The following is an 18,057-nucleotide window of genomic DNA, read 5'->3' as shown; positions in this document are numbered from 1 at the left end:
TAGGGCTAAAGAGAAATGACGGACAAATGATGAAAGAATAACCTGAGAGCGTCAGTGAGACAAATTATAAAAGAACCCATAAAAATGGGAAAACTACTGAAGATATTAAAGGGATTTAACAGTAGATTTAAGCAAGTAAATATTCAGTCAGTCTGAAGGAATAAAAACTGAAATAACCCAGTCTGAGAAGTACAATTTAAAGAAAGTGAAAAAAAAAAAAAAACTGAAGAGTAAATAGAACACCATGCGTTATACTGGTACATGCATTATGAGCATCTTATAAATGAAGAAAAACAGAGGCCAAAAATTTTTAAGGCAAAAATGACTAAACATTTCCTGAACTTAAAAATCACAATCTGAAAGATGAAAGAGGACAAAAATCTTCAACCACAATATAGTCAATGATAGCCACATCAGAAAACATTACAGGCAATCAAGAGCCAATACAAAGAAAATTGTAAAAGCAGAAAGGGAATAGCAACTTTCTATGTACAAGAAGGTCTCGATTAAAATTAACACATGATTGTTCAGCTGAATCCATGGAGTCAGAAGGTGGTGGGATATCCAAGTTTTAAGAAAAATGCTATCAAACCTGAAATATATAACTGGTAAAATGAAACTAAGAAAACATATATAGATAAGGAAAAGCTAAAGGAAATTGTGACTTAAACTTCTCTATAACAAAATGCTATTGCTCTTTCAACCCTGGCAAACTTAACTGCTAATGAACAATCTGTGTGCACAGATAAAATCAGAGAAAGTAATATAAATTGAGAAGGATGGAAAACTACAAGAGCAGCATATTTTTATACTGCTGACCTTAAACATTAAATTATTCATACAAGTTAGTATTCTTCATAGTAGGATATTTTAAGTTTTCAATAATAGTTGAAATCCCAAGTACACCTAATTGTAATATGAAAAATACAACAGCAGTTTTTAAAAATTATCCAGATTTTTTAAATGAGCAAAAAAGAAATTGAGGATCAAGCAAGAGAAAGAGCATATGGAAAACATGTAAGTCCATGTCAGAGTATGTAATATTTTACTTGTAAGAACTGTAAATGTGAGCTCTTGCTTAAAAAGGCACACATTGTTGCAAGTGTACCCTTAAACGAAGGAGTCACTTTTGTGACTTCTATGCAAGGCATACTTTAGGTGCAAAGACAAATAGGTCGAAGTAAAATAATACTAGATTCTGGGAAAGTTCTGCAATGTACAAGGGATCACTGTATATCCGTCCCTTCAACTATACAATGGGTGCAGTGGCAGGATTAGTATGATGCAATTACTATAGAATTCCGAGTCTACCTGAAGGTTTACAGCTTCCAAAAAAAGATTTTATCAATTTTGTAGCACAGATCAACAGCAGCTACTTATTCCTTAATAACCACCAATGTGGGATGCTGCTTTGCAAATATTTCTGGAGCAGCTTACAAGAGCCATGGCAAACAAAAAGGACCCTGTCCTCCAAATCTCAGGGGGACTCATTTGCCGATTGCTGCTTCTGCTTATGGAGGTCCCGACAGAGGTGAATCGTCATTGTTATATTCCCCAAATATTATGCAGGCTCTTTGTCCCTCTGTGCAACCAACTTTCAGTAGATTTAAAAAGCGAAAATATTTTTTCTTGATTGTTCTTCTTTTTCTCTTAAGATGTTTGTAGACTAAAACATTCAAAATTAATCATATACACACACACACACACACACACACACACACACACATATATATATATAATGAATTGTGGTTTTAACGATATGTGCCCCAAAACAATGGGCCTCAAAAGAGACCCAAGACAAAGCTCAATACAGCTGATTTACAGGAGAGTAAGAGCCTATATAATGAGTAAACAAAACTCTACCAAACCATAGAAGTAGAAAATCTTATGTTCAAAGTTACAGCACTTTAAAATTTAAATGCTCTTTTTCAGCACCAGCAAAATCACAAACTACAGAGTGAAATAGAGAAGTATGGCTCATTTTAATAACAACTACAAAATAATTACGAAAAAATAAGCTTTTTTTTGACAGCCCAAATGGCAGCCTTACTAAAATATAATATTTACAATTAAGCTACATAATAAGCTAATAGAATGAACAAAAGAAGCACAAACAATTACAGACAAAAATTATTAATCAAAAGAGTAAAATTATTTTAAAACCTAAAAAAGTCTAGAGATAAACCACACAGTGAAACAGAGAAGTATGGCTCATTTTAAGACGTAAAAAAAAATTATGGTCTGAAACTTTTTTTAGACAGCCCAAATGGTGGTCTTACAGAAACATAATATTTAAAATTAAGTTTCAGAGTAAGCTAATAGAAGAAAAAAAAGAACCACAAAAAATTATGAACAAAAATTAATAAAAAAGTAAAACTATTTTGAAACCTAAAAAAGTCTAGGGATAAAAAGAAAAAAATATTCACTACAGATATTTAAAAGCAGACTTGAGCTGGGGGAAGAACAAACTATCAGCAAACCAAAGAAAGGGTGTTGACATAATTAAGTTAGGAAATGAAAGAAAAAGTATAAAGCAATGGGAATAAAGCCTAAAATGTCGTGGAACACTATCAAGCAGACATATTACGCATACTGGAAGTTCAAAGGATGAGAAAAAGAATCAGGAAGACTATTTAGAAACAATAATGTTAAAGAATGTCAAAGGCAACAAACTCCAAGTAAGAGAAACTCAAATAAACAAACTTAAATTATATGATAATTAAACTCATCAAAAGAAAGACAGAGAAAATCCTGAAAGCAACAAAAGAAGTGGCTAGTTATGTTACTGGCTAGTAACCCTCAAAAATAATCAGCAGATACCTTATCTGAAAACTCAGAGGACAGAAAGCAATAGATTAACATATTCCAAATGATGTGAGAAAAAACTTTTGAACAGAAATCTTATGTTCAAAACATTGTCCCTTATAAGTGAGGGAGAAATTATGACATTTCCAGATAAAAGCTGGGACATTTTACCAGTAGACTATCTTTTTAAAAAATGCCTTATGGGATACTTCATGGTAAAATGAACAGATAATAAGGAGCAGTATGAATGGATATATATTAAGGTAAAGATAAATATATAAGCTATTATAAAACATAAAGAATAACAGTGTACACCTCCACAATGTGTTTCCCATGCAATTTAAAACACAAATATATTTAATAAAAATACTATCACTAAGTTGCGTTTTTGACATACAGTGCATAAAGGTATGATTTTGAGAACTCAATAAGGAAATCATGGGGGTGCAGTTATACAGGGTTAAGGGATTTGTGTGTTATTGAAAGTCAGCTAGTATAACTTTAAAAGTGGAATACCTTTAGAATATTCAATGTAATCACAGTATCAATGACAATTAAAAAAGAAAAAGAGTAACAGACAGGTAGAAAGCTTTCTGTACTACACCAGAGAGTAAGAGATGTGGATTTAGCTACTCTCACTTGAGGCTACTAAGCCAGCTATCATGCACCATGAGACAAAGCCCAAGCTGTCCCACCAGGGCATAATTGTGGAGAGCCTAAAGCCCATAGCATAGCTGCTATTTCAAACAATTTTCACTACGTCAGTGGTGATGAAATAGAATAGGCTCATCCATACGCAGAACCTGGTAAAGAACTGGAGGCAGAAAGAAGTGGCTATGTGGAGATGCAAATGAAACAAATTTGGCACAGCAACTACTTCAATCCTGTGTCTTTCTTCCTGGCTTTCCAGGAGTTTGAGGTTGAAACTATTGTTGACAAAAGACGAGACAAAAATGGAAAGACAGAGGCCAGGCACAGTGGCTCATGCCTGTAATCCCAGCACTTTGCAAGGCTGAGGCGGGCAGATTACGAGTTCAGGAGATGGAGACCATTCTGGCTAATACAGTGAAAACCTCTTTCTACTAAAAATCATAAAGTTAGCCAGGCGTGGTGGCAGGCCCCTCTAATCTCAGCTACCCGGGAGGCTGAGGCAGGAGAATCGCATGAACCCAGGAGGTGGAGGTTGCAGTGAGCCGAGATTGTGCAATTGTGCCACTGTACTCCTGCCTGGGTGATAGCTCAAGACTTTGTCTAAAAAAAAAAACAAAACAAAACAACAACAACAACAACAAAAATTTTTGGTGTTGCAAAGGTTAAGAAGAAACGGTATGACACTTGGGAACCAGAGCAGCACCGGTCAAAAATATATATATTACTTTAACAGATGACAGACTGAAAAACAGAAAAAGTAAAAAAGTGGCATGGACCAGAACAACTAGAACTTTTTCAAACAATACCAGAAGATGAACTTCTACATCTACCAAGCCCAACTTTTCTAAGAATACTCCTAAAACGCTAGTGTCTGGCCAACACCACAAATTCAAAAGCAGCCAGTTATGTTCTGCCAGCCAGAATGTTAGCAGTAATCCAGGGTCACCTCTGTCCGACCCAAAGAATATGGAGCTACTGTGTTCAACTATCAAGAAAGACACTTGCCCCTTACAACCCTTTTAACAACAAGAACACAGTGAGTGGCATTCAGGAACTCTAGAATCTGGACCCTATTGCAGCAGATCAGCAGGATACAGTGGTCTTCAAGGAGGAGGAAGGGAAGATCATCAGGGCTTTATCAGATCCCAGGGCAGGACATTGTGGAATAGAGAGCAAGACCCAGATTCACCCACTATTTTCTCAGAGGTCTGGCTCAGTTACGGCTTCCATGGCTGCAGACTCAGCTACCAAAAAAGGTATAGTGGTATTAATGGGCCAATCGGCAGCCAATGGAAAAACAGATGTGCATACATTAGTTGCAAGAGTGAAAGTTGGGCAAAGAAATGTTACTGACGGTGGCAGAGACCAGCTTTTTATCCAGAAGATGTACCTCATCATAGGCCTAGCAGAAAGTGCCAGCACATACAGAGATATTGCAGTGAAGAAAGAGGACAGATTCACCCAGATGTGCCTATAAACTAGATCAACATAAAAAATGTACTGAATATAGAAGTAATTAAAGCAATGGTTAATGCTCTGAATAGGGCTGCTGTGGGTGGCAGCAAGCTTGTGCTGTTCAGTGCAGCTGGAAGTGTCTTTTGCTGTGGTCTCGATTTGGGGTACTTTCTGAAGTATTTAAGGAAGGACAGAAACAGAACAAGCCTTGAGATGGTGAACACCATCAAGAACTTTGTGAATACTTTCAATCAATTTTAAAAGCCTGTTTTTGTATCAGTCAGTGGCCCATCCTTCGGAATAGGTGCATCCACACTGCCTCTTTGTGATTTCTTCTGAGCTAATGAAAAGCCTTGGTTTCAAACCCCTTATATGACATCTGGACAGAGTCCAGATGGCTGTTGTGTTACTTTAGTTCCTACTTGAACTTTGCATCATCCAGCCTCCTTAATTATTGTGGCCATGAGACATTACTTCATCCCTTGATTGATCCCAGGCCAAGGTCTCAGGCCAAGCTGTCACTTCAGCTCCTTCTTGGTCCAGGGCCAAGTTCCAAGGCTGAGCCTTGTAGCTTCTACAAATCATCACTTCAGCTCCAGATGAATCCAAGGCCAAGTTTCAGGGCCAAGCCAAATGACACCTACTCCAAGAACACTAACCACATTTCTTTACTTCTCTGTCCTTAGAAACTGTAAAGCACAGCCTCATAGTAGGTAAACCACTCACATTCCACCCCCACTGTGAAGAGTTTTTTACTTTCACTTATAAAAGTTTTGATTCAACCTTTTTGCATCCATCCTCCTTAATTTTCTTGGCCATGAGACAAAGAACTCTGTGTGATATCTCACAATTAGAGTTTTCTAGGTCGTAGTGCACTAATGAGACTGCAATGATTGAAGTCTGGGAATTGAGCTCTGGGATGCATCAGCCTTGCGAGACCAACTGACACACTGTCCCCACACTGTGATACACACCCTTCGGGTCAGTCAACCATATAGTGGTCACCAATGGAGTCTGAAAAGGGGCAAGGCAGATTTATACAGCCTAGAAACCTGAGGGACACCATCAAGCAGCCATACATATGCATTTTGGAAGTTCCAAGGAAGAGACAAAAACTCATGGATACTATTTAACAACATAGTCATAAAGAATGCAACAATTTAAGACAATAAGTAAGCACCCAAGGAGCTCAACAGACTCCAAGTAACAAAAACTCAAAGAAACAAACTCAAACTTACCTGATAATTAAACTGTCTAAAATAAATACAAAGAGAACCTTGAGGATTTTCAAGGGAAGCAGGGGAAGTAGCTAGTCATGTAAAAGGGACCCTAAAAATAACCAGTGGATCACTTATCTGAATAACCACCGAAAAGCAGTAGATTTCTTATCTGAAAACTGAGATAGAAAGCAGTAGCCTCATATATTCCAAGTGATGTCAGAAAAAACTGTCAAGCCTAAACATTATGATCCACCAAACTGTCCATCAAAGGTGAGGGACAAATTATGACATTCCCATATAAAAACTGGCACCTTTTACAAGTAGACTACCCTTTAAGAAATGTCTTATGGAGTACTTCAGGGTAGAATGGACAGATACTCAAAAGCAGTATGAACAAACAAAGATTAAGGTAAAGATAAATACATGAACAAATATGTAAGATAAAAAATTTGGCTGGGCTCAGTGGCTCACACCTGTAATCCCAGCATTTTGGGAGGCTGAGGTGCTTGGATCACGAGGTCAGGAGATCGAGACAATCCTGGCTAACATGGTGAAACCCCGTCTCTACTAAAAATACAACAAATTCGTAGGGCCAGGTGGCAGGTGCCTGTAGTCTCAGCTACTCGGGAGGCTGAGACAGGAGAATGGCATGAATCCGGGAGGTGGAGCTTGTAGTGAGCCAAGATCTCACTACTGCACTCCAGCCTCATTGACAGGGCGAGACTCCATCTCAAAACAAAACAAAACAAAACAAAACAAAACGAACAATTAACAATGTGCACCTCCACAATTTGTTCTCCACATAACTTAAAACACAAATATATTTAATAAAAAAACTACCACTAATTTGTGTTTTTGACATAAAATCAATAAAGGTATAATTTTGAGAACTCAGTAAGTGAAATAATGGAGGTACATTATACAGGAGTAAAGGCTTTGTATGTTACTGAAGGTAAGCTAGTGTAACTTTAAAAATGTTATAACATTAGAATGTTCCATATAATCGTCATAGCAACCACAATTAAACAAAGAAACACAAAAGAGTAACAGGCAGGAAGAAAGCTTTCTGTACTACACCAGAGGGTTGGGGCTGTGGATTTAGCTACTCTCACCTGAGGCTACTGAGCAAGTTGTCATGCACCATGAGACAAAGCCCAAGCTGTCCCACCAGGCAGTAAGTATGGAGAGGTTCAGGCACATGGCATAGCTGCTATTTCGCACAATTTTCACTACACCAGTGGTGACAAAATAGAAGAGGTTCATCCATACACAGAACCTGGTGAAGAGCTGGAGGCAGAAAGAAGTGTCTATGTGGAGACGCAACTGAAACAAAGGTGGCACAGCAACTGTTCCAATCCCGTGTCTTTCCTCATGGCTTCCCAGGAGTTTGAGGTTGAAGCTATTGTTGACAAAAGACAGGATAAAAATGGGAATACACAGTATTTGGTTCGGTGGAAAGGTTATGACAAACAGGATGACACTTGGGAACCAGAGCAGCACCTCATGAACTGTGAAAAATGTGTACATGATTTTAATAGACGACAGACTGAAAAACAGAAAAAACTGACATGGACTACAACCAGTAGAATTTTTTCAAACAATGCCAGAAGAAGAACTTCCAGATCTACAAAAGCAAACTATTCTAAGAACTCTCCTAAAACGCCAGTGACTGATAAACACCACAGGTCCAAAAACCGCAAGTTATTTGCTGCCAGCAAGAACGTTAGGAGAAAGGCAGCTTCAATTCTCTCCGACACAAAGAATATGGAGATAATAAATTCAACTATTGAGACCCTTGCACCTGACAGCCCCTTTGACCACAAAACTGTGAGTGGCTTTCAGAAACTTGAGAAACTGGACCCTATTGCAGCAGATCAGCAGGACACGGTGGTCTTCAAGGTGACAGAAGGGAAACTCCTCCGGGACCCTTTGTCACGTCCTGGTGCAGAACAGACTGGAATACAGAACAAGACTCAGATACACCCACTAATGTCGCAGATGTCTGGCTCAGTTACTGCTTCTATGGCCACAGGTTCAGCTACCCGAAAGGGTATAGTGGTATTAATAGACCCATTAGCAGCCAATGGGACAACAGACATGCATACCTCAGTTCCAAGAGTGAAAGGTGGGCAAAGAAATATTACTGATGACAGCAGAGACCAGCCTTTTATCAAGAAGATGCACTTCACCATAAGGCTAACAGAAAGTGCCAGCACATACAGAGACATTGTAGTGAAGAAAGAGGATGGATTCACCCAGATAGTGCTATCAACTAGATCGACAGAAAAAAATGCACTGAATACAGAAGTAATTAAAGAAATAGTTAATGCTCTGAATAGCGCTGCTGCAGATGACAGCAAGCTCGTGCTGTTCAGTGCAGCTGGAAGTGTCTTTTGCTGCGGTCTTGATTTTGGGTACTTTGTGAAGCACTTAAGGAATAACAGAAACACAGCAAGCCTTGAAATGGTGGACACCATCAAGAACTTTGTGAATACTTTTATTCAATTTAAAAAGCCTATTGTTGTATCAGTCAATGGCCCTGCGATTGGACTAGGTGCATCCATCCTGCCTCTTTGTGATCTCGTGTGGGCTAATGAAAAGGCTTGGTTCCAAACCCCTTATACGACCTTTGGACAGAGTCCAGATGGCTGTTCTTCTATTACATTCCCCAAAATGATGGGTAAAGCATCTGCCAATGAAATGTTAATTGCTGGGCGAAAGCTGACAGCAAGGGAGGCATGCGCCAAAGGCCTGGTCTCTCAGGTATTTTTGACTGGAACTTTCACCCAAGAGGTTATGATTCAAATTAAGGAGCTTGCCTCATACAATCCAATTGTACTGGAAGAATGTAAGGCCCTCGTTCGCTGTAATATTAAGTTGGAGTTGGAACAGGCCAATGAGAGAGAGTGTGAGGTGCTGAGGAAGATCTGGAGCTCAGCCCAAGGGATAGAATCCATGTTAAAGTATGTTGAAAATAAAATTGATGAGTTTTAATTGTCAGTCTGTCTGCTCAGGACACAAGAACTAAGGGGCAACAAATGCATCATGAGTTGCAAGATGCCCTAATCCATCTTCATAGCCCAAAACAATTTCACCCATAGCTAAGGCTTGGAAACAGAACTGGAAATGTCCAAGCTATGTATTTAAATTATCACATCATTTTTAAGCACTGTAGCTTTACAAGGAGTAACAAAACAGCCTCTTTGCCCAAATGTGATTATTTTATGCACACCTAAGCCCAAATATAAAAACAGACTCTTCTTGCAAGCTCTAATATGTATCTATGGCTACTACTATATATAAGACCAGAGTTGTGTTTTATTAGATGTTTGTGACAGAGAATCCTGTAATAATGTTGATTTTTTCTTATTTTTATATCCTAGAATACCTCTGTTGGGATATAAAGCAGCCTTCCCTCCCAGAAAGACACAGAATGATCAGAGATGGTGCCCTTGACTTTATAGTGGCACAAACGCTTCAGAGACACACAATTATAAGAGACTTATCTTTTAGCATAAATACTTATGGCTCAAAATCCACTGACGATCATTCTCCTAAACTGAACACATGACTAGAATTGGTGGTGAGATATCGCTTGATTTTCTTTTCCTTTATAAATGTCTAGTTCTTACCCAGTTAACAAAAGAAAACTTTATCGCTCTAAAGTAAAACTTGTTACACCACATTAGTGAATTATGGAATGATTTTGGTGGAAATATCCAGGTTCTAATGTGTGGAATGTGCAGATTTAGGTTACTTTAGTGTATGTTCTAGTTAATAAGTTAAAATTCTGGACACATTATTAAAGGCAGAAACTTCTTTCAAAGCAAACACCGCTACACTTTGTATGACCTTTACAATTATCAGTGTCTCTTTTTATGAGCACACAATTTTCTAGAACACTGTATGTGCTCAGTTATGCAAAAGCTCTATGAATCCTGTCTTGTTGGTTTTTATCGAGGCTCCATTACATAGACATAATTGAATAATCCACTGGCCACTGGTGATGAATGTCATCTTTGTCACAAGATCTCTAGGGTGTCACTTCACCAGCCAAGAACCTCTGTGGATGATGGCACCTTTGTGCAAGGTTCCCTTGAGCCTGCTTTTCTAATTTTACAAACCCATCTTACAGGCTGCACTCAGCTCAAACTATGGGCTTAGGTTTCATTTTGCTATGGATGCACCAGGCACAGACTGGAGGCAGATGCATGAGTGAGTGTTGGTTCAGTCCAGCCACTGCACACAGCTTTGCCTGTTATCTGTGATGAGGTAAGCAGGTCAGGTGCTGGTACAGGTGACAGCTCCCTGCAAATCTTTAGGTGAATCAGGCATACCACAAGCTTTCTCTTCTGCAGGCACTGAAGAATGCAGTGGCATCCACAAAAGAAGAAATGCCAGAAAATGCAAAGGCCCAAGGACGTCATCCTAGCCCTGGCATGGGAAAGGTTTAGAGCTGGGGTATCTAAAGGGCCAATGTCCTGCTTTCTTTTTCCTTTTTTCTTTTTTTTTTTTTTTTTTCTTATCTATGGGATCACTATGACTTAAATTAGGGTTTTCAAAGGGCTCTGTCTCTCTTTCTACTGGAAATTAGCATCTTGTCTTTTCTTCACTCTTTCTCTCTTTGACTGCTTTTTATTTACTATGACATGCTATAGAAGAAATGCGTCTTGGCCCAGCATCTTTCTGTTGACTGTAGGGCTATTTGTCAGAAGCAGTAAGATTTTGGCTCAGCAATAAGGTAACATCTTCCCATTTAAGACCAAAAAAAGGGCTAGATATTAGAAAGGCTCTATATATTTATTGATGTATCAGAAAACTTCCCCAGGTCTTACTTTATTTGTTTAAGGTACTGTAATGAAAAAGAAACTTGCACTTTACTGGCACCTCATTCATTGGGCATTTCCTATAGGGGTAGTAAGGAACGTGGAGGGTTGGATGTAAAAACTGGAAAAGCTGATGATGATGTGACTAAAAGGTTCTCTGCATCAAGAAGATGAGAAAACCTGTGGTAACAAATGTGGTTTTGAGTGTTTCCAGGGAGAATGTTTCTCTGACGTTTGGGAGTTGTTTCTTGTGGGCTTTTCTGATATGACTGCTAAGAAAGCAGGAACAATTTTACAGTATTTACAAAGATGTGGGTGGTTTCACAGGGCAAAAAGCCTTGCACATAGGGAACTTCAAACAATGTGCCTTTGACTCTCAGAAACTATCTAGGTTTTCAATAGTATTGACAAAGAAAAGCTACATAGTTGTGGTGGATTATTGGTAAAATTTCTGCAAGCAGAGAAACAGCCTGAAATATCAGGCTGCAGACACAAATTTAAGAATCCTGCACAATCCTGTGGCACAAGCAAATAATTTTTTTAAAAAAGCCCAACTTTTTGTGTGTGTGTGCTTAAGACATGCCCACAGCTACTCAGATAAAAAAAAAAAAAAAAAAAAACAAGACCCCGCATTAAAATGTTGTGTCTTTTGTGTAACCAGAGTGCTTCCAGGAAATAGTCTCTCTCTTTTTTAGAACTTGTACATATTGGACTCCAATGTGTTACAAAGGGTACCTTATATTACTAAACATACTTCAGACTCCGAGCCAAATTTCTGTAAATTATCATTTAAGACTCTGGTCCCAGGCCAAGGTCCTGGGCCATGCTTTCCCTTTAGCTCTTGTGTGGCTCAGGGCCAAGTTCCTGAGCCAAGCTGAGTCATTACATCCGCCATTAATAGTTCCAGGCACAAGGACCCAGAAAAGATGAGAAGTGCTTTCTTCAAAACTAGTTAGTACCTTTTCTTCCTTCTGAGTCCATAAAAATATGAGACTCTTTCTCAAAGTGGGCAACTGACTCTACTCCACCAGAAGTTAACATATTAAACATTTACTATCATCTCACCTTTTGCATTCCTAATTTTTAATTTTCTTGAAATTAAAAAGATCTGTGTGTCACCTAAAAATGAGAGACTGATACATTGTGGTTCACTGGGGGACAGCAAGGTTTGTTTTTGGTTCATGGACTTGGAAAGGCCTTAATTAAAAAGGTCAGTAGGGGCTGGGCATGGTGGCTCATGACTGTTATCGCAGCACTTTGGGTGGCCAATGTGGGAAGATCAGGAGGAGATCAAGATGGAGATCATCCTGGCTAACATGGTGAAGCCCTCATGAAGTCTACCAAAAATACAAAAAATTAGCAGGGTGTGGTGGTGGGCACCTTTAGTGACAGTTGCTTGGTAGGCTAAGGCAGGAGAATGGCATAAACCCGGGAAATGGAGCTTGCAGTTAGCCAAGATCATGCAACTGGACTCCAGTTTAAGTGACAGAGAATCCATTAGAAAAAAAAAGTGAGTAGGGGTGCCATTCCAAACTATTTACATTCATATCTTCAGCTTGTCCTCTATTTGCTTTCATATCTGCAGCTTGTTCTCAGTTTTTGTTTGTTTGTTTTTGTTATTTGTTTTTTTCTTTTTTTTTAATGTCTGAAGAGCAAACAAAGCTCTGGACCAGTGCCAGGTAAAATCCGATGGATTGCCTGCCATTCTTACAAAGCTTAGGAGAAAGGGATTCTGGGAGACACATTGGCAGTCTCCTTTCACCCTCCGCTGTTGAAAGTGTTGCCTCTGTTCCAACTGTTTTCTTTCAGAGAGGATCCAGCTGTCACATAGGACTGAAAGGATATCTAAGTTAATTGAAGATTTCTGGTTAAGGCTATACCACAGTGTTACGTGAAGGCCTCAAAACTAACTCCAGTTTCTGACAGCCCATCAGAGTGTTGCCACCAAAATTTCCAGGCTTTTCTGTGGCATTTTATTTATTTGTTTTTTGTCATTGTGTGGCTAATGTCCCTCCTATTTCTTCTTTGTATGCCATGTTGAGACCTGGAGATACAAGCTTACTGGTAAAAGTCAGTCAGTAGAAATATAATTCAAAGAGTTGCTATTTTGTGTTTTTTTTTCTTTCAAAAGAGGAAGAATTCAAAATTGTGGTCTAAAAATTTTTATTTGATAAGGGTCTTTTTGTCCGCCGATGATAGACATTCATGACACTGTAGGGAATGGCATACATTCAAATAAATTTTCCCTGTTTGGCGGGTGATTTCTCTTTAAAAAGCTCAGCACAGCCATATATATCTAAACAGTTTCTTTGTGAGACACATCTTCTTTTTTCTGCAGAGACACATACTGTGGGGACAGGCGATGGAGCGTTAACCTTCCTTTTCTCAGTTTTGACTATATAAACCTGGAATTCAGCATTTTCATGGAATATCTGAGATCTTAAAATGCAACCTAGTAAAATGAGGTTTTTCTCTTGGGGAAGCCTTGTCAGTACTTTGCACAAAACCCTTGGATTTTAATTCCTCTCTCTGTTATATCTCTCTAACTCTGTGCCCTATCAGTAAACAGAAAATTTCCACTTTCAATAATCAGAAAGAAGGTGTCTTTGAGAGACATATTTTAGCTAAGTGCTGTCTTATGAAAGCCAGCCATACAAGCTTTACTTGCTTTGAGGCACACCTTCTTCCTCCAGCAGCACTGACATTTAAACTAACGGAGAATTTTATGTTTCAACTCAATCTATCTTATTTCCTGCAATTTCAGTATTTTTTCTAGGCCATAGCAAGGGAAGCCACAAATAGTATTAAAATTCTTACTCTATACAAGTGTCTTGCTAGAATCCAATGACTATATAATCTTTTTTTTAGGCTCCCAAGTTACTCTGGGTATCTTCTGGGTTGAGTAGGCTTAAGAAATCAACAAAGAGTCACCAGTAGAGAGCTAAAGCCTCTGCAGGAAAATGTTACTTGTCCTGCTGTCTAGATCCTCTAGAACTGTGGGTGAAGGTTTAGCTTCCATCCATGGGGGACACCTATGTCAGTCACCAGACTCAGAAAAGACAAGAGGAATTCAAAAACAAGGAATATCCTATCTTTTTATTCAGTCAGGGCTATTTCAAAAGGGGGAAAAAGAGAATAGGAATTTTTTTTATATATTTCTTTAGAAACTTCACAAACTGTCTGCAGTACGCACCTCTCTAGATTACATTCTGAAACACAGAAATTTCATTGACTGTGAGACTCTGAAAAATGAAAGTGGCTTATTTATGTATTTATTGCTCAAGGGCATGACAGCCCTACCAGCTCCAGGACAGACATGCCTAGCTTTCTGAGGGAAGTGTTCGCTTTAGTACTATTCAACAGGTATATCTTTTCTTCAGATGGCAAAGAAAAGAGTATGATTTTTTTTTTCTTTTTTGGACAACCTTACTTTGACTGGGGAGACAACCCAGATCTTTCTAAGTATTGTAAAAATGACTCTGCCCTCTTGGCAGTCATAACAGGCAAGTTTCAAGAGATAATTCATTAAAGTCAGAGACAAGCCCCTGAGGAACACTCAAATTTATCTTCTAAATGTCACACCTGCCACCCTCATTTAGAAGTTCCAATAGCCATTTCATCATCTTGTCTTGTTGTGCCACTAAGGAAAACCAAAACTCACTGTTGCCCCTGTAGAAAATACTCCATAGATGTGATACTAGTATAGCAGAAGTTTTCTTCTCATTGCAAGGACTTAGACAAAAAAAAATGAAAAAGATAAGCAAATGTCCTCTGATGACCCTGGTGGATATACAGAGATATTTCAAAATCTAACTCAAATGTTCAATCATACCTGAATAGATGATACATTACTGCTAAACCAACCCCTAACTGTTGCCCTAAAGCAGGCAGCTTTACAGAGAGCAGAGTTATCCATGGATGAACCACATGTCTTTTATAAAATCTTGAAAAAGGGAGGGTGAAAAGGAATAAAAAAAGTTGAACTGATAACAGAATTCTTATTCGTAATAGGAAAGGACGGAGTGCTGAAAACTCGATTGGAATCTTATTGGTCCTATAGAGGAGTGAAAAAAAAATTAGTGAGCCTACTGGAAGGCTTATAAGTGAACAGGACAAAACTTCATAATTACTCTAAACTATTCATAATAGGTTAAAATCACAGAAAAATTATAGAGCCTTTTTTAAAATCCTGAGAGAGGCTTTAGTGAAACACATGTTCCTATCTCCCTATTGGGTTAAGATAAAGTTAATCTTAAGAGAAAAGTTTATTACTCAAGCAGACCCTGACATCAAAAGAAAACTGCAAAAATGTGTCATAGGTTCAGATAATATTGTTCTTTTAACAATGCACCAAGACATAACAGCCTTTCTTTCATTTGAGATTACACTAAGAGTCTTTTTTTTACATTTAAGAAGATTAAGGACTGTAGACAAAGGAAACTGTTTGGAGCAAAAGTTTAAATAAGTGGCAAAAGCAGCTCTCTGCCAGCAGAGATAGAAGCTTGAATAAGTTGTCCACTGGGGTTTAAGGTTTTTATGGCCTAAAAAATAAAGATATATACTTAGTTTGCAAGCTGTCTTGGAGAATGGGTGACTTAGCTTTGCCCTGGCCCAGGACCTATTAGACAGCTTAGCCCAGGCACTTTGCCTGGGAGCAGTCTGAGGTGGTAATTTGCAAAGACTGCTTAGCTTGGTACAGGACCTAAAGTAAAAGCTTGTTCTGGGATGCTGGCTCAGGACCAATCAGGGACTGAAGTGATGATTCATATGGGTTGAGCAACCAGTGAAATACAAAAATAAATATTTCATCCAATACCCGCTAGATCGCACTGCGTTTATGCCCACAAAAAACAAAACAAAACAAAACAAAAAACAACTTTATTTTCTGAAAGCCCTCTGAGTATACAGAAAACAACAAGCCTATGCCAGGCATTGGTTCCCCATCTGAATCAGTGGGAGGTTTGTACAAGATTTTATCTGAATGGACTGAAGGTTCTGTTATCTGTGCTGTCAGGCACAACCTTCTGTGTTAAATCTCTTACTGGTACACACACGTTTTTTTTTGGTCTGGTTATTATGTTATGTTGGAATCAGGCCCTTACTTGTTTACTGGAGGTCTTCCAGGAACCCATTCCTTGCTGTTTACATGGGAAAAGCTGGCTAAGTTGTCTTTGTCCTCCCTCAGAAATGAAAACTCTAACTTCTCTTAGGAGATTGGGCATTGGTCTTTCTGGATACTTTCTGCTGGAGAAGAGTGTTGTGTAGAAAACAGTATGTAGGATCTACTGAGGGTTGGTTTAAGTGTTTGTAGAAGAAAGGCCTGTTAATGCATGGTTTTATTTGCATTACATTTTAAAGTGTGATAGACTTTAGGCACAAAAAGAAAACCAGTTTGGATTATTAGAAAAAGCATATCACAACTAGACAAGGAGAGTAAGAACAGCTGAAATACTTCAAGGCTGCTGACGTGCCCGTGTAACTGTGGCTACATTTACACCTGTTAAGATTTTGTTACATGAGACTTGGATTTATTTAGCTTTCTTGATTTGATCCTTTGAAACAAAAATTCTGTTACAGAAACCCTATTTTCTTTTATGACCTGCAAATATTTGTGGAATGAGTTCCCAGAATTAGAATATTGTTCTAGATTTATCTGTTACTCATATCTTTCTGTTTTCCAAGAACGGTAGCTGGACCTCACCAGTTGGTTCACAGAAAAAAAAAAAAAAAAAAAGGTTAATTAATATTGTACAAACATCTTAAAAACAACATATGAGATGAGAAGTTAGTGATAGAGGTGTGATAGGCTGTGAGACATCTATCTTTTTTTTAGTCCTAATTTTTGTTAAGAACGAATTATGACAAAAGTTGGTTGTTGGCAAAACAGACTTGTCCTACACTTAGCCAGAATATTTTTGTACAGTGCTGTGGGAAATACCTTTACATGTGCTTTCCTCATGGGCTTTTATGAATCTCTATTCTACAAGGAATCTTAAATAGGACATTATAAAGCTGAGTCCAACTATAGGTTTGACCCTTAGATACATGTTATTTGGATAAACTCCTCTATTTTTTTGAGATTCCAAGTGCATGTGGTTCCTAGGCCTGATAGAAAGTGGCTTTTTTTTTTTTCCTCTTACCGCAGATTAGAAAACCTGTATTGGGACTGTGTAAACAAAGTATAAGGCTGCGTTTCTTAGGGGGCTTTTATTGGTTCTAGAAGTCAGACGTAAGTCATTAAAGAAGGCACACTCTTCCAGTCAAAGCCTTTGGAAATCAACCAGCTTATTCTATTGGGTTATGTTGCAAATGAAAATACATTTTTGTTGCACTGAGTAAAACAATTATATTGTTGTAAGTTAAGAATAATCACACATACTTTCCGAATTTTAGAGGAACTAGGCACAGAGGAAAAAAGCATGTTTCAAGTTTTGCTAACAGGAGTATACCAATTGACAGTGTTAAAAGCTGTAGCTACTTTAAAAGAAAGTGCGCTTGACTTTAAAAAACAAAACAAGAATTAGAAATGTTCTAAAATAAAGATAAAGAGATTGTTTCATTCTTCTGTTAGTTTAGTCTATTTTAACATTTGTCCTGCTTGACATTTATAAGCATTTTAGCTATTCCTAAGTTCTGTACATTTTCCTGTTATAAAAAAACCTACAGTTGAGAACAGCTGGTACAGTTCTACAGCTAATTATAAGTCGTTATTCTTGATGAAGATTAAATGTCTGTAAATGACAAAATGTCTAGTGTGGTTAGAAACAGCATAGGCAAAGACATTTGGTTACTTCCGTGGTTTACAATAGCTTAACATAATAACTTTAAATAAAAATTGTAGCACGTATTCAGATATTAAGAACCTTAAAAACCTCATGTGGTTTTGAGCCCTGTGTTAATGTTACCCACTAAAATATATTCTGAAAAAAATAAAATATTACCATCAAAATCACATGTATTTAAATGTGCTTTATAATCCTGTTTAACTTTTTCTTTTATGCCCCAGGGGCTCTCTGAGGCATCCAAAATATAGGGTTCAGAAAATACATCCTTGAAGTTAAAATTTTATTCTGGGAAGCCTGCCAAATATTTTAGAGGAT

The 18,057-nt window shown here is 38.1% G+C and overlaps 1 protein-coding gene and 1 pseudogene across 4 annotated transcripts; both read left to right on the top strand.

Annotated features, from left to right (window-relative positions):
* Positions 3,278-5,414, top strand: CDY17P (chromodomain Y-linked 17 pseudogene; annotated as a pseudogene).
* On the top strand, positions 7,172-10,571 carry CDY1B (chromodomain Y-linked 1B). 4 transcript variants are annotated; one of them, XR_938655.3, is made up of 3 exons: positions 7,177-9,094; positions 9,515-9,714; positions 10,490-10,571. XR_938655.3 is itself a non-coding variant. In NM_001003895.1 (2 exons), the coding sequence occupies exons 1-2, from the start codon at positions 7,503-7,505 to the stop codon at positions 9,585-9,587; spliced, it is 1,665 nt and encodes a 554-aa protein (NP_001003895.1). In that variant the 5' UTR covers positions 7,177-7,502; the 3' UTR covers positions 9,588-9,962. The 4 variants fall into 4 exon arrangements, 3 of the variants coding, with proteins under 3 accessions (NP_001003894.1, NP_001003895.1, XP_011529786.1); NM_001003895.1 differs by lacking the exon at positions 10,490-10,571 and having other exon boundaries at positions 9,515-9,962; XM_011531484.3 differs by lacking the exon at positions 10,490-10,571 and having other exon boundaries at positions 7,185-8,894; positions 9,515-9,962.
* The last annotated feature ends 7,486 nt before the right edge of the window (positions 10,572-18,057 follow it).

Source organism: Homo sapiens, chromosome Y (assembly GCF_000001405.40).
Source record: "Homo sapiens chromosome Y, GRCh38.p14 Primary Assembly".
Classification (NCBI taxonomy): domain Eukaryota; kingdom Metazoa; phylum Chordata; class Mammalia; order Primates; family Hominidae; genus Homo; species Homo sapiens.
This window is presented reverse-complemented; position numbering and strand designations above follow the sequence as displayed.

Bases quoted from the DNA above. Each gene is read 5' to 3' on its own strand.
- CDY1B (NM_001003895.1), top strand. From the start codon at position 7,503: ATGGCTTCCCAGGAGTTTGAGGTTGAAGCTATTGTTGACAAAAGACAG. The intron at 9,095-9,514 runs GTATGTTGAAAA...TTTATATCCTAG, and splicing joins GGGATAGAATCCATGTTAAA to AATACCTCTGTTGGGATATA.